The 25,599-nt window shown below is 38.6% G+C and overlaps 1 protein-coding gene and 1 long non-coding RNA gene across 19 annotated transcripts in view, besides 3 other annotated features; one reads left to right on the forward strand and one right to left on the reverse strand.

The window, feature by feature from the left end:
- Window positions 1-25,599, reverse strand: part of NCALD (neurocalcin delta) — a 438,366-nt gene that overhangs the window by 214,692 nt on the left and 198,075 nt on the right. For all 17 annotated transcript variants that reach the window (NM_001040630.2, XM_047422315.1, NM_001040627.2 and 14 more), the window contains one exon: window positions 14,576-14,625. The gene's annotated coding sequence lies outside the window, so the exon portion shown is untranslated. The remainder of the gene's footprint in view (window positions 1-14,575; window positions 14,626-25,599) is intronic.
- Window positions 1,469-1,518: an enhancer, noted in NCBI's record as "active region_27737". NCBI's record gives its function as "activates an Ori minimal core promoter by ATAC-STARR-seq in GM12878 lymphoblastoid cells {active_cell/tissue: GM12878}" and the evidence as "EXISTENCE:reporter gene assay evidence [ECO:0000049][PMID:35858748]".
- Window positions 1,529-1,578: an enhancer, noted in NCBI's record as "active region_27738". NCBI's record gives its function as "activates an Ori minimal core promoter by ATAC-STARR-seq in GM12878 lymphoblastoid cells {active_cell/tissue: GM12878}" and the evidence as "EXISTENCE:reporter gene assay evidence [ECO:0000049][PMID:35858748]".
- On the forward strand, window positions 6,711-21,988 carry LOC124901996 (uncharacterized). Of its 2 annotated transcripts, none has more exons than XR_007061036.1 (3): window positions 6,711-10,401; window positions 11,633-14,337; window positions 21,901-21,988. It is a non-coding gene; the product is annotated as an uncharacterized LOC124901996 (long non-coding RNA). The 2 variants fall into 2 exon arrangements; XR_007061037.1 differs by having other exon boundaries at window positions 10,357-10,401; window positions 11,636-14,337.
- Window positions 10,357-10,476: an enhancer, noted in NCBI's record as "active region_27739". NCBI's record gives its function as "activates an Ori minimal core promoter by ATAC-STARR-seq in GM12878 lymphoblastoid cells {active_cell/tissue: GM12878}" and the evidence as "EXISTENCE:reporter gene assay evidence [ECO:0000049][PMID:35858748]".

The raw sequence follows: 25,599 nt of genomic DNA on the forward strand, positions 1-25,599 counted from the left end.
TTATATCTGACAGGAATTTCCTATAAACAGCATATAGTTGGGGTTTTTTAAAAATCCATCATGTCAAAAAAAAAATCCATTATGTCAATCATCTTTCATTTGTATATTTTCGCCACTTGTAGTCAATGTAATTGTTGATATACTTGGGCTAATATCTGCCATTTTTGTTGTTTCCTGTTTGTTCTCTACTTTTTTTCCTTTATTTTGATTTTCTAGACTTATTGTGGGTATTTAGGACTTTTTAAGAATTCCATTTTTATTTATCTATAGTGTTTTTAGGTATATCTCTTTATCTCACTTTTTCAATGGTTGCTCTCCTTATTATAATAAATATACACAACTTACCAGAGTGTATTGGTAGAATTCTTACCTCCCTTTACATTCCTTTACTTTTCCTCATCTATAAAATAATTTTCTTAAATATTTATCTACGTACATCAAGAACTACATCGGATAGTGTTATTTTTTGCTTTAACCATGAAATATAATTTAGAAAACTTAAGAGGAGAAGTAAACTTTATTGTACTTACCCCATTTTTATTCTTTGCATTACTCTTTTCTCTTCTTTTTTTTTTGAGATGGAGTCTCGACTTGTCACCCAGGTTAGTGTGCAGTGGCAGGATCTCGGCTCACTGCAACCTCTGCCTCCTGAGTTCAAGTGATTCTCCTGCCTCAGCCGCCCAAGTAGCTGGGGTTACTGGCATTCACCACCATACCCAGCTAAGTTTTGTATTTTTAGTAGAGATGGGGTTTCACCATATTGGCCAGGCTGGTCTCGAACTCCTGACCTCAAGTGATCCACCCACCTCAGCCTCCCAAAGTGCTGGGATTACAGGCGTGAGCCATCACACCCACTACATTCTTTTCTCTTGATAACACATGTTAGGTAGTTTTCATATTCCCATAGATCCGTGCCCTCTTTTTTTTCTTCAGCCTATTTGATCTATTGCTAAGATAGGGTAATTTCTACTATTCTACTTATAAGTTCACTGATTCTTTCCTCTGTCCACTCCATTCTCATGTTAGCCCATCCACTGAGTTTTTTTTTTTTTTTTTTTAACTTCATTTTCCTAGAAATTGGAAAAAATAATGAAGTAAGAAAAGAATGCAAAAAGGAAGCCAATACGTTTTTTGAAGTAGTAAAAAGAAACTTCTTTCTGCTTCCTAAGAAATGAATACACTCATGGGTTGGCCAGGGGTCCAGTGACCACGCAGGCTGATGTGACTCATATTTGGACTGGTCCTGCTCCTTTCAACAGCCCTCTGTTAGAACATGCCCTAGAGTTCCTCTACAGAGCAATGTGGCTGCTCTGGGCAAGGCTGCCTCCAGGTGACTGGACCGACAGCCAAGGCAGGAACAAGCAGTGTTGCAGCATTAAGCTGTAGCTTATCAGAGTGCTGCAGAGCTTTCCTCCTCTGGCCTTTTCAACGCCAGCCCTACTCATCTTACTGTCAACCTTCAGCTCCCTCAAATCCCGGACTGATGCCATGGCTTTTTTTACTTTTCTCTCCCCCAGCATGTGCTTCCTCCTAATTTCTGCTTGCTTACCTGGCCTCTGACCCATTTTTGCTTGCATTATGACATTGTGCACATGTGTGGATTCCCTGACCCAGCTCTTCAGCAGGGGCCCCTGACCTAACTAAATACCACCTAGACATTCTAATGGTTTCACTTTCACCAACAACTGTGTTGCTCTCCAAGGCTAACGGAATAGAGACCTTTCTTTCTTCTCTGCAAGGCAGGGGTGGAGAAGATCGATTTTAAAGGCTTACAGCCTCTACTCTCCAGGACATATTTCTGTGAGGTCACCAGCTGCTGCTTATGCGTGCTCCTTCCATCCCAAGCCCAGCACGTGGAGGCAGGAAAAGAAATGAGTGGGCAGACAAATTAACACTGAAAGGCTTGATAAATACTAACAGCAAATACTAAAAATAACTAGACAGCAGTGGTTTACTTTTAGGAATTTTTTTTTTTTTTTTTTGAGATGGAGTCTCACTCTATCACCAGGCTGGAGTGCAGTGGCGTGATCTCAGCTCACTGCAACCTCCGCCTCTCGGGTTCAAGTGATTCTCCTGCCTCAGCCTCCCGAGTAGCTGGGACTGCAAGTGTGTGCCACCATGCCCAGCTAATTTTTGTATTTTTAGTAGAGATGGAGTTTCACCGTGTTGGCCAGGATGGTCTCGATGTCTTGATCTCATGATCCGCCCACCTCAGCCTCCCAAAGTGCTGGGGATTACAGGCTTGAGCCACCACACCCAGGCTATGTTTAGGAATTTCATCTGTGCTTTTGTGTTGGGGCGAGAGCGAGGGAGAGAATGAGGACTGTAGAGAAGTTGGAAATGTTGCTGTTCTCTGGAGGTGGAGCCACTGAAGAGCTTCCCTGGGTAGACAGCACTCCTCCACCTCCTCCCTGAAATACCTCTCTCAGCCTTCCCAGGCTTCCTCAGTTCTACAAATGGCTCCTTCCTGTGCCACAAAGGCATCCCTGCTCTTACCAGCAGAGAGGAAAAGTGGCTAAGAGATTGTGGCTGTTTTCTTCCTCAGTCTCATCCTCTCCCATTTGCAGGAGAGCCTGGCTGCCTTTTGACCTCAGCTTCTAAAAGACAGAAGGGTGCCTGGGGTTAGTGTGTGTCTCCTGTATATCTGTGAGTCCCTGGTATGCTGGGTGTGACATGGCAAAGCCATTAACCCCACATGACACAATCTGCAGACACAGACTCCAGACTAGGAATCCCACACATTCCCCAAAATGCCCACTCCTGCGCTCCTGTAGGACTAGGGATGAGCATAAATGGCCCTGATCCTTTTAAGACCAGGGTCTCCTGGTTGAATAAAATGGAGGACAGTAAGCCTGTTCAGTTCTGTTTCTGTTATTTTCCCTTCCCTGGTGAGTAATTCAGCTATGCTGTGAATCGATAGGGATCTCTGGAGCTGGAAGAAGACACAAGAGGAGGGAAATAAATTGCTCCCAGTTGGATGAATTATAAGCACCTTTGAGTTCTTCATCAAATCTGTCCTGTGCAATCAGCAAAGAAGGAGTATTTTCAGCCTGAGTTCCCCCGCCCCCGCTCCCCTAATCCCTCCTTTATATCATGCACTCTCATAGCACAGTCTGAAAGCAAAAAGAAATAAAAGGTCTTCCTTCCCTACTCTCAAAATCACCACATCTTTTCCCATCTCCCCACTTCCTTCCTTTATGACTCCAATAAAGAGGGAGCATCCTTCATGGAAAGGTTAATCCCTCCGTTTATATCCTGGTCTCCCCTCCAGCATCATCCACATCTCACTCCATCCCTTCACCACCACCCCTCTTACATCTTCAGGATACCATCTCCTGGGCTCCTTCCCCAAGGCTGGAAAACAGCCTCCACCTCTGTGATTCTATAAGCCTTCCTTCTATTTTATTACCCTTTACAATTCTATCTCTCTCCTCTTCTCCATCATGCATCCCAAAAGAAGGGTCTGATTATTTTCATCACTCTTCCTATATTTACTCCAACTATTGCAGCCAGACCTCTCTCTGCTTCCTGCAAGGTGCCTACTGATTTCCAGGTTGCCAAACGCAATGGCTTTGAGCTTTCTGTTCTACCCTTCTGAAACCCACTCTGCCCTTTGATTCTGTGGTAGTGCAACATCCTGGTGCTCCTGGGACCAGGATGGTCTATCTGTCCATTCCTAGACCCTTCCAGTTTCCTCCTCTTTTGCCCATCCCATAAATGAGAGTAATCCCCACAATCAAAGGTGGCCACATTTAGCAAAAAAAGACAGAAAGCCCAATTAAATTTAAATTTCAGATCAATAGTTTTTATATTGCATGGAACATTCTTACACTAAAATTTTATTCTTTGTTGATCTGAAATTCAGTGTTAACTGAGCTTCCTATTTTTTAATCTGACAATCCTACCACAGTTGTTTCTTCAGAGCTCCTCTCCATTCTCTAACTTCTTCCCTTGTTGATGTTTTCTATGCCCATGGCTTCTATGATTATCTTTTCTCAGATAATTCCCAAATCTTTATTTCTAGCACCAATCTCTCTCCTCTCCTCTCTCTCTCTCTCTCTCTCTCTCTGGTGTATTTCTCTTTTCCCTGGGGGTATTTTTTTGACCCCCTACTTGCTTTTCTTCCCTTCTGGACTCTCTATTTCTTCCCTTCTCCAGCCTCCCAATCACTTCAACTCCAAAGTCAGGAGGCCGACCTCAGCAAGTGGCTGAGCACTTGTTGGTTTTACCCTAACCAACATTCTCTCAGATATGTCTTTCCTTCCATTTCCATAGATGCCACTGACTTGAGATCTTTGTCATTTCTGTATGTCTACAAACCATCCCACACTATTTAAATTGCCTTCTGACTAGTCCCCCAACTTCTACTTACATCCACCCTCTACCCCTCCACACACCACTCAATTAACATCCTAATTAAAGTGCAGATGTGGCCATGCCACTCCCTCGATAAAGGAAGCTTCTGACTGGCTACTGGTTAAAGTCGAAGCTCCCTAACCAGCATCCAGAACCTTCAATGAGCTTTCTTTCTCCAATTCTTTCCCTGTGGTCTCCTCTATGCACCCCAAATTCAAGGAGCATCAGAATATGATTCCAGGCCTCCCTATCTCTATTTGCTGACACTCAGACTTAGATGTAGACTACTTTGAAGGAGATTCATACAGTTTCTGCATAAATAGATGCTCCATAAATGCTTGCTGAATTAGTGAAGTAAGTCAATTTGAAATTGACCACATTAACAGAATGAAGTAATTAAATCCATGAATCATTTATGTGATTCATTTATGCAAATGAATGCAGTTTTTCACAAACTCATTGTTTGCTTACCATCAATTATGGGTGATGTCAAGTTCATGTAAGTATGTAATATGTCTATGATGTCAAATCACAGCTGGGCCCTGATGGAACTCCACAGGGCAGGGACAGACACAGACCACACCTGCTGCTTCTCTCGATTTACTTTTTGAACTCTAATCCCTTCCCCATTTCCCTCACTTCTTACAGATGATTCTTTGTAAACATCCTTGAATTTTCTGATATATAGTCTCCAAACAACTGGAAGTTCGAAATCACTGCCAAAACCACATTCTGATCCAAGAACATCTGAGTGCTTTAATAACCTAAATCAGAAGCCTGCAACCTCTTCCTGCAACACGCCACATGGTAAATATTTTTGGCTTTGCATACCGTTCGGTCTCCAGTTGCAATGATGACTCAACTTTGCCATTGAGGCACAGAAACGGCCATGGTTGACACAAAAACAAATGGGTGGGCCTGTGTGCCTATAAAACTTTACCTGCAAAGCAGCCAGCCAGGATGCCAGCCACCGTTTGCTGACCCCAGCCTAAACCAAGTTTCTAATGAATGATTTACTTTGTGTTCCTTCCAAACTATACCTTTCATTGCAGTCACTTGATTGGGAAAAACATCAGAATTTCAGTTGGTATAGTCTTTTCATGAGATCATAGTTAAACTAACTCAGGACTACAGAGTGGGTCAAGAGAAAATAAGGAGTGAATATTTGAAGGCCGCTTTGGGACTTTCCTCCCAGCCTGGTGGACATCACCCCAGAGCAAGGGCATGGAGAGGCCAGATAGGTGAGCAGCCCACTTTTAGGCGCAAGATTTAAGGTGGTGCCACAAAAGCATAAATCTACATAAGTAATATTTTAATGCAATGTTTTAAAGAAAATCAGAATGAATGAAGACATTCATGATGAATAAAATATCAACATTTTTAATTAAGACAGATTCGCTATTACTGATTTTTTCTCTTGCCCTGGGTTCCAGTGTGACTCTGCACAGCAATGTTATTGATCCTATTTTTATTTAAAATGTTGATCTTTGTCCATCATGGATGTTTTGCATTTGATTTTTGAAAAACATTGCGCTAAGTGCTATTTATTTTGATTATGGAGTTTTTGGCAACTTCTAATTTTGCACAAAAGCAAATGTCCTACTCACCTTCTCTAGTCTCAGCCCTGCAACAACCTCATCATCATCGTCAACATCTATGCCCATTATGGAGAATTACATGCAGCTATTTAATGTTCCCTTTGGACTAAATCTTTCCTCTTGGCTACTTTAATGCCATTTTCACTTACTTAGATCCACCCTATAAGCAGGTAAATTTGAAACATGTAGAAACTCTTGTGCCATACTCTCTAGAGCCACTTCTTAAAGGATATGTTAAAGAGAGAAATAATATGTTAAATGGAGACAATAAAATAAGAGGTTTATTAAATTTTATTATTTTATTTTATTAAATAATTTAATAAATTTTATTATTGTATTAAATATTTTATTAATTTCTTATTTAATAAAATAGTGGCACTTAGTATATTTTATTAAATTCCTACTAAGTGCCTAGTGGCTAAAGAACTTTGTATCCCTCATTTCATTTAATTATGACAACCCGCAGAGGGGACGGGACAGGAGGCAATATATCATTATTTCCAACCCAGTGCTAGGGAGAAGATAGCAAGTGCTCCACTTTGGAAAGAAACTACATTTCATGCTTCTCCAGGCAACTTCCAAGGAGTCATCAACCCATTTGAGAAGCATGTCTGGTATTACATTTCTGTAACAAGATGCACAGCAGGCACTTTCAAGCATTTAAAATACTTGAATGTGTAAAGTTTCACAGTTGGTCATAAGTTCATAATAGCTACGTGCCTCTTTTATTGGGGAGATGCCATGCCATGCTGGGATTCCACAAGGGAGTAGGGCTCCCCCCATTCTTTAAAATAGAGCAGCTCAAAAAACTCCTCTGGCAATTTTAACTACACAAGAATAGAAAACACCCAGGCAGAGTGTGAGAGATCAATCTTGTAAACAGCAGGATAAGCAAGGTGTAAACAAGAATGGAAAGAAAATATACAGCCTTTTAAAAAATCATTGCTTTTGACAAGGACAATAAGATAGGAATAAATTCAGCCCCGAATAGCATGGAAAAACAAAAGCTCAGAGAAGTGTTAAATCACATGCCAGGTGGCTGCAGGAATTCGCAATAATCCATTCCAATCTGCCAACCCGTCCCTTTTGGCATCCGGCTTGATTTTACACAGGCTCTTCTTCCAGTTTTATGTGCTTGGGAGTTTGTGGGGAGGGTGTTGTTTGGTTTTTTTCTCGTCAAGCAGCAAACCCAGCATTTTCAAGGCTGTTGCAACTTTCCTAAGTCACATATTTTTTCTCCTCTGACCCCACAAACAATGTTGTTTTGGAGAACCACAAACCACAATATTTCCATCTTTCATTTCACGGAACCATGTTCTTGCATGCAGTAAAAATATGTTCACATCCTTGTACTAAGTCTTAGTAAATGCATCATATGATCACGGGTGTTATTAGAAGACTTCATGCAATAAAACTCCTGCATCTTCTACCCTTTCAATAATTCTACCAAATATTAAGCACTGAGCATGTACTCATACTCATGACCTGAAGATAACAGGAATGAACTGTCAGATCCCTGCTTTGAGGACCACATAGTCCAATGGAGGAGAGAGACTTAGAAATAAACAGCTACAATAAGGGAGGAAGCTACCTTTATCCCTCAAGCTGTAAAGTGATAATGTGCATGGGTTTATTAAACAAAAATTTAGGGAAGGTCATTATTTTGGATTAGGCTCCTGCACTAGGCCCCAACAGACCAGACCAAATCAAAATGGAGTCACTTGTGCTAAGTGCCACATCATCACACTGAACTTTGAAATGGGCCAGTTTTCCAAAAATCAAGAGATTCATAGCAACCAATCAGAAGAGGCCCAGTTTACCTGAGCCAACATAATAAAGAAGTCCCCTCTGTTTTAACTCTATAAGGAAAGTGATCTTTTTCAAGGTGGTCTTTGAAATGACTGATCTGCTTTTTGTTCCCTGTTTCTGCTTTCTTCAGCCTTTTACTGCCTATAAGCCCCCTCTTGTTGAGCCCATCAGAGCACCCATTCTATTTTATAGAATGAGATGGTGCCTGAGTCTAAAATTACAAATAAAAGCCAATTCAATTTTTCGACCACATTTGTTGTAATTTTGTCTTTTGACAGGTTCCACTCATACTTTTCAGCACTCCTCAGCAGGTTGCTTCCAAGAATTGATCAAAGGATGAAGTATCCACCCTGTGCAGGTACAGATATTGGACAACACTCAGTGCTTCCCATGAAGCAAAGAAATGCCCTCCTGTGAAGCCCTTCAGCCTCCTCCACCTTCATCACTGCCTTGCTCCACACTCCTGTTCTCAGCCTCAGACTTCCACACTGCCTTCTTCAAGCTTACTGATGGCGCAAGTGTCATGCTATTTACTATATGCCAAGAATTGCATAAATTATCTCATATACTATCTCATATAATTATCTCATTGAATTTTCATAACCACCTCAGAATAGGCTTTGTTATCCCAGTGTTATTAATAAAGAAAATGAGCCTCTGAAATTTTCAGAAACTTCTGAAAAGTTCAGAAACTTGCCCAAGGCTAAACAGCTAGTATAGAGAAACTGAGGTGAGAACCCAGGATTATGTGATTAGAACACCTCTTAAACAGTACATTCATCTTTCTCCATGGGCATGTTTAATGTAACGCCCCTTAAGGTTATTTACACCTTAAGAACAGAGATTGACATTTCCGTTTTTTAATAGTTCCTAGACAGGGTAGACCCATAGCAAGCAACGTATGCATCTACCTATGTGATGTGATTTAAGGGAGGCTGGACAAGGATGGGTTAAAAATGTCTCCACTATTGCCTATCATGGTGCCTAGAATTTCACCATTGGGAGTGCATTATTTTGGGTGTGAAGTCTTTCTAGTCTTCAGGATCGCTCTCTTAGAACATGATTGCCCTAGGAGGGGCAATCCTACACTGAGACCTCAGTGAGGATAAAGATGTCAGAGAATGAGACACAGGAGAAATGCCCAGAAAGGAGCTAGGGACCTCTGAGATGGGAAAAGTGGTCCCAAGAAGAGGATGGGAGGTTCTAGGACAGGTGTGGAAGTTTTGTTTTGCTGGCCCCATCTCTGTGGCCCTGAGCACTGGGCAGGGCAAATGGAAGGTATGTAAGTTTTTATTTGACTTGAGGAAACAGTGTTTTGATCCGACATGAGAGGAGGAGGTATGAGGGATGGTGGCAGGTGGGCATTGAGTGCTGAGGTCGCCAGAAAAGGAGAGCTCAGAATGAGAGGAGGTAATTTTGGGGACACAGGGCCCCAAGAATAGTACCAAATAAAGAGAAATAACAAATGAGTTGGTGAATGTCTGTCTTCCCAGACTGCCACAGCCACGTGCTACCTAGGTACTCCCTAATAAGGAAATCCAATGTGGATTTAATCACCGTAATACAGAAAGGATGTTAGGATGATCTAGAAACAAAATGGAAAGACAGATATAATGTACAAAGATACTATTTATAAAATGCATTACTTCAAAATAAACCCAGCTCTTTTGACAAAAAGATCTAGTGGTTGTTCTATTCCCATAATAAATAGATCCAGAATTTTGGTAAAAGGTGAGTGTACCAGATTTCTATATTAAGGTACATGGCAAATATATCTGATAAAACCACTAGGCAAACCTAAATCCCTGGTGAAGCTCAGTTAAAACCATGAGAAAGAGCTCTGAAGACCACCACAGGGCAACGACCCTGAGAAATCCTAAGACTTTCCTAAGAATTTAGCCCTGATCAACAATCACTTTGCTCTATGACCTTCCAGCTAAAGATAAATGCACTTGCTCTGAGCTTTCACTGAATGCCTCCTTCACAAACAGGAAAGGTTACTTCTATTTACTCTAATCTACTTCCTATTTTCAAAAAAGACCCCTTTATTTAATTCCTACAAAGAAAACAACCCCAAGGAGGAAAGAAGGAAGCAGGTAAGCTCTGACCTTTATCTGCTAAATGAGTTATTTTACCAATAGTACAGGTGATCCTGTTCTCACAATGCTGAATAACAATTCTTTGTACCCCTTGGCATAAGAGGAACCAGTAGCTACAGCCTAAGGCTTATTGTGAATGAGTAGAGAAAAGAAAAATATAGGCATGTAGAGACTTGAAAAAAAAAAGAGGAGAAGGGGGGAGAAGGAGAAGGGGGCCACAGGAAATCCTTCCTCTTATGAATTTCTCTTTTCTTTTTTTTCTTTTCTTTTTTTTTTTTTTGAGACAGAGTCTCACTCTGTCGCCCAGGTTGGAGTGCAATGGCGCGATCTCGGCTCACTGCAACCTCTGCCTCCTGGATTCAAGTGATCCTCCCACTTCAGGCTCCCTAGTACCTGAGACTGCAGGCAGACACCACCATGCCCGGCGAATTTTTGTATTTTCAGTAGAGATGGGGTTTCGCCATGTTGGCCAGGCTGGTCTCGAACTCCTGACCACAAGTGATCTGCCACCTCGGCCTCCCAAAGCGCTGGGATTACAGGTATGAACCACCATGCCCAGCCCCTCTTGTGAGTTTCTTAATTAAATTACTGCAATATATATTTCCTTTTCATTTCATCTTGGCTACTAATGAGCTGCGTTTCCACGAATTACCTGCTTTCTTCATGGTGGCTGCATGTCTGAGACATAAATAGCAAAGGTTTCTGTTTCGGTCCCCTAAGAGGTTTGTAGTAACCTCTGTGGATATTCATAGACACAATGATGACATGATCCAAACCCACAGTTAGACACAAGGTCTAATAAGGGATCTTGTGCTTTATTTCCAGATGCAAGCAGAAACTTTGCAAATACACTTCAGATACCTAAATATAAGGGTTTCTAGACAGTTTAGTGTTATAAAGAACAATCAGGAAAAATATACATTTTTGAGGTCCTAAAAATCTGGGTGGTGATTACAATGCTGGAGCAAAACGGCCATGCCAGTATTTTTGTAATTCATATTTTATAAGAAAAGGATTCAGAACTCATAAAATTAGTGAAAATAAATATTGAATACATTTAAAATATAAAATTTACAAACATCATGTAAAATATAAAAAAACTAAACAGTATCACTGTATTAATAATTATTGGCAGGCAGAATTTTAAAACACAAGCATTAAAAAAACTAAGCCTGAAAAATGAAAAAAAAATTAAGTCATGAAAAGTTGAAAATGAGATCATGTTATTTGAACTTTTATAAAATGAGTTATTAAGGTGTACAGACATTGTTGCTATGGAGTTGAGAACATATTTTTGTGCAAATTTCCTCACTAAAAAAGAGAAAGTATTAGTCAGGGAAATGATGATGTATTTATGAGCAGTCTCCAAATCTTTTTCTCTGACTCCTCCATCTTCAGATAATCCTAATTCTCACTTGATAACTTTGAGGAGTATTTAGGAGTATTTTTTAACAACTTTGTTGGGGGCAAGAGGTGAAACCTATTTATTTACCTCGTGCTATAGTTTGCTTGAAAGCAAGAAGCAAGCATTTCTGATTTGCCTTTACTTTAGTTTGCTCATCTGTGGTGGAATCCCAATGCCCAGCCACTTGCATCTGTTTTGTAATTCTCCTATTGTAGAGGACACACCCTCAGGTGATCCCCACTGAGTCATGTCCTATGTAATCCCCTCCCACAGAGTGCAGGCACGACCTGTGACTTGATTTTCAGCAAACGAAATATGGCAAAGCCAATGCCTTCATTGAATATTTCACTACCTTGATGTCTTAGCAGGCTGCAATGGGAGTTTCTCCTGCAGACGTTGAAGGCATAAGCTGCCATGTTGTGACAAGCCTGTGAGATGCCACATGGGAAGAAGCTGTGGGTGATTCCTAGGACATGAGAGTGACCCAGGTGACTTCCAGAAATAAAGTGGGGACCTCAGTCCTACAATCTCAGCTGGATTCTGCCAACAACTGCATGAGCTTAGAAGAAAAAACTCAAGCTCCAGACAAGAACACAGCACAGTCAAGATCTTGATGACACCTTTCCAAGACCATAAGCAGAGGCCCAAGCTGTACTCAGACTCCTGACCCAAGAAGATGGAACACAATACTCATTGTTTTAAGTCACTATATTTGTGGCAATTTGTTATGTAGCAATACATAACTAACACATGTCATAATCCACTTTGAACTCAAATAACAGCCATTCTTGAAAAAAAGCTCTGATTTGCCAATTATTATTTTCTTTTGGCTGTTGAGGATAACAGAAATCTAGCAGAATGCTTTATACATGTGTATACCTTTATCCAATTCAAAACTTGAATGCAGAAAATCATTCTCCATGAGTGAGTCTTGAAACACAAATGAATCAGACTCAACATTTTTCAAAATATCAAAATTCTTTTATTTTGTTACTTAAAAATTGGAAGGTATACCTCCAAACCAGTTTTTTTGTTTGTTTTCATTTTTGTTGTTTTTGGTTTTGGTGTGTCTACTTAACTGTTTTGTTTTGCTTGTTTTGGGACAGAGTTTCGCTCTTGTTGCCCAGGCTGGAGTGCAAGGGCACAATCTCGGCTCACCACAACCTCCGCCTCCTGGATTCAAGCAACTCTCCTGCCTTAGCCTCCTGAGTAGCTGGGATTACAGGCATGCACCACCACGCCCAGCTAATTTTGTATTTTTAGTAGAGATGGGGCTTCTCCATGTTGGCCAGGCTGGTCTCAAACTCCCAACCTCACGTGATCTGCCTGCCTTGGCCTCCCAAAGTGCTAGGATTACAGGAGTGAGACACTGCGCCTGGCCTACTTAACTGTTTTTCAAATAAATGGTTTATTTTCAAAGTTTTAGATTTACAGGATTATAAAGATAATACAGAAAGTTCTTGTATACCCCATACCCAGTTTTCCCAAATATTAACATCTTACATTAGCATGGTACATTTATCACATTTGATGAACCAATGTTGATACATTATTGTGAACTAAACTCCATACTTTAATCAAACTTTCTTAGTTTTTACCTAACATCCTATTTTTGGTCCAGGATCCCACATTACATTGAGTCATCATGTCTCCTTAGGCTTCTCTTGATTGTGACTATCTCTCAGACTTGAGTTGTTTCTGATGACCTTCACAGCTTTGAGGGGTACTAGTCAGATATTTTGTAGCATGTCGCTCTACTGGAATTTGTCTTATGCTTTTCTCATAATTAGACTTAGATCAAGTATTTTGGGGAGGAAGATTACAAAGGCAAAGTGCCCTTCTCATCACATCATGTCAAGGGTACCTACTACCAATGTGACCTGCCACTGCTGATTTAACCTTAATCACCTGGCTTGAGATAGTGTTTGCTTGGGTTTCTCCATTGTGAAGTTACTTTTTCCCCTCCCTTTCTTTACTATACTCTTTGAAAGAAAGTCATTCTGTGCAGCCCCCAGGGAGGGTTATGCTTTACCCCCTGAAAGGCAGAGTATCTTACATACATTATTTGGAATTCTTCTACATTCTCTTCATTTATTTATTCATCATGTATTTATATCAGTATAGATATGTATTTTGTACTTTAAGTGATATCCTAATTCTAACTTCCTTTCTTTGCTCAAATTTTCCATCTTTGGACATTGAAAGTACTTTCGATTGGGTCCTGTATTCTTTTCACATACAACCATCATTGCGGATTTTTATTTTTTGCACTTCTTTACTTTATAGCACTACAAGATGCTCCAGGCTCATCTTGTATATTTGCTGCCACAGTCTTAAATCAGTCATTTCTCCAAGGAACCCTGGTTCATTTCATTGGAAAACAGTATTAGAAACCAAGATCTGGGAAACAGGTATGTATTGTTTGCTTCCAGACCAAACCAGTTTCTCAATCTCTAAATATGGGATCTTGGAATGTCCCTGTATTCTTAATTTATTTTAATTTATTTGACAAACATTTTTGCAGTGATTACCATGTGCCAGTCACTCTTTTAAGCACTTTGAAAATATTAACTCATTTAATCCTTGTAATAATCTCATAACAACAAAATATGGTATTAGTCCCATTTTATGGACAAAAAAAACAAGAAACAGATATTTGGATGTGTTCCATAGTCACCCAGATAGTAACTAACAGAGCCAAAATTGAACCCAAGTATCTGGATCCATATTTGGAGCTAACCACATTGGAGTTAGATTTGGAGCTAACTCCTACATTGCCTTGCAGTGGTGAGGACCTTGCAGAGCTGCCACACAAATTGATGAATTAATTCACCCACACGTTCATTCTCTAATACAAATCTGTTATGTGCCCATTAGGTGCCAGACTATCTGATATCTGTTAATTGGTGCTTAATGCCATTTGAGATACCTCTTGGAATATGACCCAATTTAACATAAAGGAGGATGCTGTTGTAATGTACCCCTTGAGAAGACTCTGGCAGCTGCCTGGGATGAAGATGTCATATAAAAACTACTCCACTGAGTGGTTGCAAATATACTTTATTATGCTGTAAGTAATATTCAAAGGTGATAAGCAGGCAGTACCTTATTTACTTCATTTCTATTTATTTATCATTTCCATAAATTTTTTAAATGGGCTTTAGTATCTTTTATATATACAAAACTCCCATTCATTATGCTACTATTCTTGATAAAACATTTGAACAGAACTGTCTCTTGTGAAAACTACTGAACAAAACTGAGATTTCCATTTATAGCTAAGAAGAACATTTTAAATATACACTTACTTTCTGACTGTCAGCAACGAGTGGTCCCAGGAGACCAAAGTTGAGATAATCTGAAAGAAAACATGCAAAACAATAATGGTAAATGCAAATATCTTAAAGGAATCTTTGTCCTGAGGTCATTATCCCACCTATTTTAACAGCAGAACACTGGGAGACTGACATCCCATGACATGATTTACTACTTGTTAATAATATGTTTTGGAAAAGAGAGTGCAGGTTGGGGTGGAGGTGAGGTTCAGCAAAATGGACTCCCTGAGAAAAGAAAGCAGAGACTGAAACAATGGGAAACCTGGAATGGACTTCTGGTTAATATTTATATCTCCTTGGAAGAGGATATGAGAGTTAAGTGAAGGAATACTCAAGAATGTGGGCCTTCATTTTCAGTTCAGAGCAAGCACCAGATGAGCTGCCTTCCAGATGTATCAAAGTTTAGGGATATTCAAAAAAGAACTATCCCACCAAATTAAGCTTCATAAAAGAAGGTTAAATAAAATATTTTCCAGACAAGCAAGTGCTAAGGGAATTCATTACCACTAGACCAGCCTTATGAGAGATCTTTAAGAAAGTTCTAAACATGGAAACAAAAGAATGATACTTGCTACCACAAAAGCACTGTTAAGTACATAGCCCACAGACTCTATAAAACAACTACAAAATAGAAACTACAAAGCAAACAGCTAACAACTTATGATAGGATCAAAACCTTACATATCACTATTACTTGAATGCAAGTGGTTTCAATGTTCCCACTTAAAAGGCAGAGAGTAGCAAGTTGGATAAAAGAATGAAGTCCAATTGTCTGCTGTCTTCAAGAGACCCATAGGCTCAAAGTAAAGGGTGGAAGAAAGATCTACCATGGAAACAGAAAACAAAACAAAAAAAGCAGGAGTTGCTGTTCTTTTATCTGATAAAACAGATTTTTAACACCAATAACAGTAAAAAAGGACAAAGAAGAGCATTATGTAATGATAAAAAGTTCAATTAAACAAGAAGACTTAACTATCCTAAATATATATGCACCCAACATCAGAGCACCCAGATTCATAAAACAAGTACTTCTAGACCTACAAAAAGACTCACACAGCCACACAATAATAGAAGGGAACTTTAACACCCCATTGTCAGATCATCAAGGCAGAAAACTAATAAAGAATATCTGGACTTAAATTTGACACTTGACCAATGAGAACTAACAGACATCTATAGAATACTCCATCCATCAAGTATAGAATATACCTTCTTCTCATCTGCACATGAAACATACTCTAAGATTAACCACATGCTCAACTGTAAAGCAAGTCTCAATAAATTTAAAAATATCAAAATCATACCAACCATACTCTCAGATTATAGTGCAATAAAAATAGAAATAAACTCCAAGATCTCTCAAAATTGCAAAATTACATGAAAATTTAACAACTTGTTTCTGAGTGGCTTTCAGTAAACAATAAAATTAGGGCAGAAATCAAGAAATTCTTTGAAATAAATGAAAACAGAGATTCAACACATCAACATCTCTGGGATTCTGCAAAAGCAGAGCAAAGTTATAGCACTAAACACCTACCTCCAAAATTTAAAAAGATCTCAAATTAGAAATCTAACATCAAACCTAGAGGATCTAGAAAAACAAGAGCAAAGTAACCCCAAATCTAGCAGAAGAAAATAAATAAAATCAGAGCAGAAATGAACAAAGTTGAGACCCAAAAATTCATACGAAGAAGCAACAAAACTAAAAGTTGGTTCTTTGAAAGGATAAACAAGATTGATAGACCATTAGCTAGATTAACAAAAAAAAAGATACAAATAAGCACAATCACAAATGACAAAGGTGATATTACAATGAATCCCACAGAAATACAAAAGATCCTCAGAGACTATTATGAACAATTCTATGCATACTAACTAGAAAATTTAGAGAAAATGGGTAAATTCCTGGAAACACACAACTTCCTAAGGCTGAATTAGAAGGAACTTGAAACCCTTAGCAGACCAATATCAAGTTTTGAACTTGAAGCAATAATTTTTTAAAAACCCTACCTATCAAAAAAACCTCAGGACTAGATGGATTCACAGCCAAATTCTAGCAGATGTACAAAGAAGAGCTGGTACCAATTTTATTGAAACTATTCCAAATAATCGAGGAGAAAGAACTCCTCCCTAACTCATTCTACAAAGCCAGCATCACTCTGATACCAAAACCTGGCAAAGACACAACAACCAAAAAAGAAAACTACCGGCTAATATCTCTGATAAACACAGAAGCAAAAATCCTTAACAAAATACTAGCAAACTAAATCCAACAGCACATCAAAAAGTTAATTCACCATGATCAAGTAGGCTTCATTCCTAAGGTGTAAGGTTCATTCAACACATGCAAATCAATAAATTTGAGTCACCACATAAACACAATTAAAAGCAAAAACCATATGATCATCTTGATAAACACAAAAAGTTTTTGATAAAATCCAACATCTCTTCATGATAAAACCCCTCAAGAAACTAGGCATTGAAAGAACATACCTCAAAATATTAAGAGCCATCTATGGTAAACCCACAGCGAATATCATACTGAAGGGGCAAAAACTAAAAGCCTTACCCTTGAGAACTGGAAAAAGACAAGTATGCCCACTCTCACCACTCCTATTCAATCTATTAATAATACTGGAAGTCCTAGCCAGAGCAATCAGGCAAGAGAAAGAACTAAAAGGCATCCGAATAGGAAAAGAAGAAATCAAACTATATCTCTTCACAGAGAATATGATTCTATACCTAGAAAACCCTAAAGACTCTGTCCAAAGGCTCCTGCAACTGATAAACTTCTTCAGTAAAGTTTTAGGATACAAAATCAATGTAAAAAATCAGTCACATTTCTATACACTAACAATGTTCAAGCTGAGGGCCAAATCAAGAACACAATCCCATTTACAATAGCCACACACACACACACACACACACACACACACACAGATACCTAGGAAAACATCTAACCAAGGAAGTGAAAGATCTCTACAAGGAAAACTACAAGACATTGCCAAAAGATATCAGAGGTGACACAAACAAATGTTAAAACATTCCATGCTCATGAATTAGGAGGATCAATGTTGTTACATTGGCCATATTACCCGAAGCAATCTAGAGATTCGATGCTATTCCTATCAAACTACCAACATCATTTTTCACAGAACGATAAATGAAATTCATATAGAACCAAATTCTATAATTCTAAAATTTATATAGAACCAAAAAGGAACCCAAATAGCCAAAGCAATCCTAAGCAAAAAGAACAAAGCTGGAGGCATCACGTTATCTGACTTCAAACTATACTATATGGCTATAGTCACCAAAACAGCATGGTACTAGTGCAAAAACAGGCACATAAACCAATGGAACAGAATAGAGAACACAGAAATAAAGCTGCACACCTACAGCTATCTGATCTTCAACAAAGTCAACAAAAAGAAGCATCGGGGAAAGGACTTCCTATTCAAAAAATGGTGCTCAGATAGCTGGCTAGCCACATGCAAAAGAATGAAACTGTACCCCTACCTTTCATCACATAAAAAAATTAACTCAAGATGGATTAAAGATTTAGATGTAAGACCTCAAACTATAAGAATCCTAGAAGAAAACCTAGAAAACACCATTCTGGACATTAGCCTTGGAAATGAATTTATGACTAGGCCCTCAAAAGCAATTGCAACAAAAACAAAAACTGACAAATAAGAACTAATTAAACTAAAGAGCTTCTGCACAGCAAAAGAAACTATCAACAGAGTAAACAGACAATCTACAGAATGGAAGAAAATATTTGCAAACTATGCATCCAACAAAGCTCTAATATCCAGAATCTATAAGGAGCTTAAACTCAGCAGGCAAGCAAAAGAAAAAAAAAAACAAAAAGGCAAAAAATGTGAACAGACATGTCCCAAAAGAAAACTACAAGCAGCCAACAAACATGCAAAAATGCTTCATATGCTTCAAATCACCAGTTATCAGAGAAATGCAAATCAAAACCACAATGGGATACCATCTCACACCAGTTAGAATGGCTATTATTAAGAAGTCAAAAAACAAAAGATGCTGGTGAGGCTACAAAGAAAAGGGAATGCTTACACACTGTTGGTGGGAATATAGATTAGTTCAACCCCCATAGAAAAGCAGTTTGGGGCTGGGCGTGGTGGCTCATGCCTGTAGCCCCAGCACTTCGGGAGGCCAAAGTGGGCAGATTACTTGAGCCCAGGAATTCAAGACCAGCCTGAACAACATGGCAAAACTCCACCTCTACAAAAAATACAAAAATTAGCTGAGTGTGGTGGTGCATGCCTGTAGTCCCAACTATTTGGGAGGCTGAAGTGGGAAGATCACTTGAGCCCAGGAGGTCCAGGCTATAGTGAGACATGATTGTGCCACTGCACTCCAGCCCGAGTGAAACAGTGAGACCTTGTCTCAAGGGGGAAAAAAAGAAAACAGTTTGGAGATTTCTCAAAGAAATATTCTTTAAGAATTAAAAACTTTAAGAAAGTTCTTAAAACAGAACTACCATTTTACCTAGCAATCCCATTACTGAGTATATATTCAAAAGAAAATAAATCATTCTACCAAAAAGACACATGAAGTCACATATTCATCACAACAGTATTCACAATAGCAAAGACATGGAATCAACCTAGGTGCCCATCAATGGTGAATTAGATTAAAACATATGTGGTACATATATACCATAGAATACTATGCAGTCATAAAAAAGAATGAAATCATGTTCTTTGCAGCAACATGGATACAGCTGGAGTCCATTATTCTAAGTGAATTAATACAGGAGCAGAAAACCAAATATCACATGTTCTCACTTATAAGTGGGAGCTAAACATTGGTACACATGGACATAAAAATGGGAACAACAGACAGCAGGGACTACTAGAGGAGAGAGGGAGAAATGGGGGAAGAGTTGAAGGACTAACCATTGGGTACTATGTTCAGTACCTGGGTGACAGAATCACTGATACCCCGAACCTCAGCATCATGCAATATACCAGGTAACAGACCTGCACATATACCCACTGAATCTAAAATAAAAGTTGGAAAAAAGGAACTAACTGACGCAGTCCATGTAATGTGACAATAGGAAATTACGATAAAATGAGTCAATAAATAGGAATATTATATTGGTTAGACTCATAGGGAAGGAGGGTATCAAAAGAACTGAATGATTAGTTAGCCTGCGAAAGGACTAACTCAGCATGTCCGATTGAGAAGGCTTCAAGGAAGTGGGTGTTATCTATTAGATCCCATTACTAATGGGCACAAGGAAGGAGTAGTCTCTCAGATTTTGTGTCTGACATAAAAAGTGCATTTAAGTACCTCTGAGAGTGCCAGTCTAAACAATCTAATTAGTCTGTCAAGTACAATTTCAAAGCTATTAAGAGGACCAAAGCCCTTTTCAGAAATGTGTAAAAAAAAAAAAAAATCTCAAATTATATTATTGAATTCTTAAATATCAAAGTATCACTTTTATTAGGAATAAAATATCAATAAATATGCAATTGTTTGGATTTCTAAAATCCTTTTTTATTAAAAAATTAATTATAATAATAAAAGAAGAAAAGGTATCCCAACTGACATGTTAGGAAAACATTAGAAAAAGACGTAACTACCAATTTCTGTATATTTGGTGATGTACCAATAACTACAAAATGCACCTCAGTCAATACACCAAGGACTCATATTCCTCTAAGCACTTAATGGAGAATTGAATACTGTTAAAGCAGAAATCAGGACTTTACCAAAGAGTTAGTAAAGGTGTCCCTTTAAACATAGACTAGAAGTGGTATATGTCAGTGGTAAGGACTTCATGCAAGCTATTGAACCTTGGAATGTTCCACAAATTATAGCTATTAATTTATTTCTAGTTCCAACAATCTAAGAATTCTTATCTAAGACAGATTCTTAATTTTTTCCTTACTTATAATAACCTGTACATTTTAATAATATAGATACTATAGAAGATGTTTGGTTTAATAAAATGTAATCTTTCCAAGTATGATTTTTTAACTGAGAAAAAATCTGTGAAATAATTTTTATGTATATTCCTTCATCTCAAAGTTATATTTTTGACACCCAAACATGATACAACTTGAAAAGTACATTTTTTTTTTTTTGAGACAGTCTCCCTCTATTGCCCAGGCTGGAATGCAGTGGCACAATCTCAGCTCACTGTAACCTCCACCTCTGGGGTTCAAGCAATTCTCCTGCCTCAGCCTCTAAGATGTGAAAACATGTTAAAGTGAATTTAAAGTGTTTTATGATTTAAAATATAATTAACTCAATTTTAGACTTTGAGATTTTACTGAAAAAAAAAAATGGTGTCTCTGGAAATGATGATGCTTCATGAAAAAAAAAAAGTGCTTGGTTAAATGACAAGATAAATAAATGAGCAGTGACTAGAGCTGACCTATGATAGAACCCTGACAGATTTCTGTAGCATCAGAATGGACAGCCCATTAAATACCAAGCTACTTGGTGATGTGTAAGACAACTGGGTGAGACCAAGAGAAGAAGAATTCTGTCTATTTTCTACATTATTGGACACGTTTCATTGACCTGCTCACAGAAGCACATTGAAACACATCCTATCTTACCTATTTGTTCCCAGCAATTAATGAGAAAATAGTGAAAATGGGATTGAAAGAGCAGGAACATGTAGGAGCACAAGAATAATAACAACAGAGTATATATTTCATTCTTCATATAATAGCTGCTTTCATTAAAATATATATGTAAACAAAACCATTCTACAGATTGCTGCCATGGCTTGAATTTTTGTGTCTTTACAGAATTTGTGTTGAAACGTAGTATCTCCAGTACAATACAGTTGTGCCCTATTATCCACAGGGAATATACATTCCAAGAACCCCAAGTGGATGCCTAAAACCTCAAATAGTACTGAATTTGATACATACTATGTTTTCTATATATACTATGTTTTTCTTCTATACATACATACCTATGATAAGGTTTAATTTAGAAATTACACACAGTAAGAGATTAACCACAACCAATAATAAAATAGAATAACTGTAACACTATACTGTATTAAAAATCACATGAATGTGGTCTCTATTTCTCTCTCTCTCAAAATATCTTATTGTAACTGTACCTAGGAAAGTGAAACTATGGACAAGGGGGGACTACTGTAGTATTAAAGGTGGGGCTTTAAGGGGTTGATTACATCATGAGGGCTCATCCCTCATGAATGGAATTAAGGCTCCTATAAAAGAGGGCTTCACATAGCATTTGGCCCTTTTTGTCCTTTTGTCCCTTTCACCAAGTGAGGACACAAGAAGAAGCACCATGTTGGAGGCAGACAGCAGCCCTCACCAGACACATTTGCTGGCATCTTGATCTTGGACTTTCCAGCCTCCAGAACTGCAAGAAATAAATTTCTGTACTTTATAAATTACCCACTTGTGAGTATTTTGTTATAGCAGCATGAAAAGACTAAGACAACTACAAATTTATCTTGCTAATCTATCTCACTCCCAGGAGGCAAGGAGGTAAGATAGAAAGAGCACAGAAATGGAAGTCTAGGGTCTAACCCCACCTTGGCCACTTATTAGCAGATAAGTGACCTTGGAGCAGTCACTCACTATCACTAGCTCTCTATACGCAGAAAATGATGTGTAATTGTTGTCAAGTCCCTTCCAGTTCTGACATCTATGTCAAGTTGGTCCTAACTTTTCCTTTAAGATCTCTATCAAGAAATGTATGGCTTATGAAAAAACAAATAAATGTAGCTGGCCGAATTTGCTTTCTCAGTAGCCTGGAGAGAATCCTTTTGTAATAGTGATAATGGTTACAATACTTTATATATTTTGGTTTAATTTCAAGGTTTTTTTAAAGGGACTTTGTACATAATTAAATGTTTAAAAATAAGTTCTTTCTCTTATATTTAGTGCTGGGGTTCTATTTGCATTATTAAAGGTATTGACTAGCATCCCATTTTTTCCTTTGTTTCAAATAGAATATGTAACATGGAATATTTGAGCTTGACTATTTTAAACCTTTATTAACATATTTATCAGGGCTGATAATGTTATTAGAAAGATAGTTTCTTTTTTATTTCAACTTGTATTATAGATTAAAGGATACATGTGCAGATTTGCTACATGGGTAAATTGTGTGATGCTGAGGCTTGGAGTCCCAACAATCCCATCATCCAGGCCATAAGCAGAGTACCCAATAGGCAGTTCTTCAGCCTAGGCCTCCCAACTTCTTTCCCCATCCATTGATCCCCAGGGTCTATTGTTCCCATCTTTACCATCATGTGTATTCTTGCATCCTTGGAGATATGAAACTCTGAGAACATTTAGATAAAAATGGCTTTGAAAAGTTTTAATATTATATAAAGATACTATATAGTCACCAATACCATTTAGCCATTATTTCTAACCATCCTATCAGTCAGCCATATCATCCATTCACGCTAATGGTGAATGAAATGGTTTCTGGTCTGTCAGCACTGGTATCTAATCTTTCACTCAAAACATGGCATTTTCATTGAGCGGCACAGTATATTCCGACAAGTGCTTGTAAATAGAGTCAACAGCACTTTACATTTGGTTTTAATTCGATTTAACAAGTTTGGCAATTTGCAGTTCAGAATCCAACCCTAACTTTCCTCAGGAAGTGGAAAAGGCTTAGTATATATTCATCTGGAAAAAATCTACCATGTTCCAAATCATAACTAAACTGGAAACAGATCATATTCATCCTCTCAGGGGCACTTAGCATAAGCTAAATATACACACAACACAGCTGACCATTTATAAACACAGCTACCATCGGGACCAGAGAGCTGTGTCAATGGCCGTCATTTGTTGGTCTGCAGTGAAAAACCAGAGATCTTGCTAAGATGGAGGCCATGTCTGAACAGCATGCAATCCACACTGCTCCATTTTACACAAATGTCGAAAAAATATTTTAAAGCATTCCATTGTCTTGTTGTCTACTTTTAGATTGAGTCTTTAAATAAGGATTCATCTAGTTCTTTCCATTTTCATAAACATAGACATTAAATATAGATTTAAGAGGATTCAGGCTTCCCTTAAAGGACCTTTGTTATTGCCGTTCTCCTGAGGTTCCTTCAGATGCTGTGATTCATTCCGATGTTGATTCTGTGACTTCAGTTGTGAGGGATGAATATTTTCCTCATTTATATCTCAGAGTTGGTTTTAAATTCAGAAAGCATGTATGACAAAAGAAAAAAAAATAACACAAAGAAACCAACCTCATTCCAGAGAAGAGAGATTGGCTAAATGAGGGTTAAGTCAATCAGCCAGCCAAAAACATTATAGAGTATCCAAGAGGGCAGAGCCAGGCATAATTCTCCCTTCTGTCCATGTCACCTGCGATGCTCCCCTTGGAAGAGTGGCTGGGTGCCTCACATGCAGAAAAATACAGACATCTGACAGCCAGACTATAAGGGGTGTATTTATCCATTCATTGAACAAACATTTATTCAGCATCCACCAAGAGGCAGGGGTAGGGTACTTTAAGGTGCTCACTTCAGAAGGCAGAAGCCAGCTAGTGATTTATGGCAGACAAGTAAAAATATAGTAATAAAACGGGATCAGTTGAAGGATAGACACATATAAACATGAATAACCAGTGTGAGCAATACCCCCTCACATTCTACACTCATTCCCCCTCTCATTAGCACTTGGCTCATTAGCACCATTGCCACTTCGGGTTATGTATTTATTTATTTATTTATGGCTGTCTCACAGACACATTATTTATATGTTAAATACATATATAACATCAAGTGGCAATGGTGCCAATGATGTCCTTGAGGGCATGGGATTTCTTTGAGTCATTGAGCTAAACCAGCCCCTAGAACAGAACCCCATACCTAATAGGTGCTCAATAAATATGTAATAAATATGTTCCTATAAAAGAAGCTTCACACAGCATTTGACTAAATGAATGCATGAGTGAATCAACATTATAGACATCATTCAAAAGAAGGAATGATTGATTGTCTGGAAAGACAGGAGGAAATGATGGTGGGCTATGATTAAAGGCAATTAAATGTTGATAAGTAAGAAGCTGAAAAATCAGGCAAGAGACGTTCACTGGGCAGGTCCTCAGGAGTCCCCTGCAATGGGTCTATGGAATCCAGGCAGTTGTGTCTACCCGGTGTCCCGTCCTTGTGGAACTGTCTTCCCAGCTCCATGTGGCTTTGGTGGGGCAACCAATCCCAGACTTCAACTCCTCTGACCACAGGGGAGAGCCCCAGCCCACTGCAGTCTGTCTGATTCTCCCTCCTGGGCATTTAAATCTGCAGCCAACAAGAACAAGAACACCAGCAGCAGAGCCATCAGCAGCGGCAGGACCTTGGAAAGATGGCTCATGAATTCCTGCTTCTGGGACCCCCCAGTTCCCTTGGTTCTCAACTTTCCCGAGGCCTGTTTGGTCAGCTCTTCCCTCAGTTCTTTAAGCTATTAATAGCCTTCCAATAAACTTTTCTTTTCTGGCTCCAGTAGTCTCAGTTTATTTCTGTTGATTACATGCTAAGCTTTCTACAACCACAGGGGCTGATTAGAAGATAATTGTGGCTTGGAAGGACTCAGGAATAAATTTTTATTTGACACTAACCATGTACAGGTACTGAGCTAAGCTCTTTATATGAGTTATCCAATTTAATCTTCAGAACCATCTCTATTAGTGACTATTTCCGTTTTAAATAAGTCTAAAAATTTAACCTCTTTAACTTAACTTAAATAAGTTAAATAATATGTCCAAGCTGACGATCTACCAGGTGGCAGAGCCAGCACTCAGCTTCAAAGACCACAGTCTTAACAATTTCCCCCCACTCTTCTCCCCACTTAGGCTCACTGAACCCCTGGGAAACACAAGTGTTAGCATGTCATAAACAACTAGAAATGCCACTTGTATCATGGCCAGGTAGGGTTAGGGTTAGGGATAAGGAGGTGGTGGGTCTCCCTAGGGAATAAGTGGCGTTAAGG

Source organism: Homo sapiens, chromosome 8, assembly GCF_000001405.40.
Source record: "Homo sapiens chromosome 8, GRCh38.p14 Primary Assembly".
Classification (NCBI taxonomy): Eukaryota; Metazoa; Chordata; class Mammalia; order Primates; family Hominidae; genus Homo; species Homo sapiens.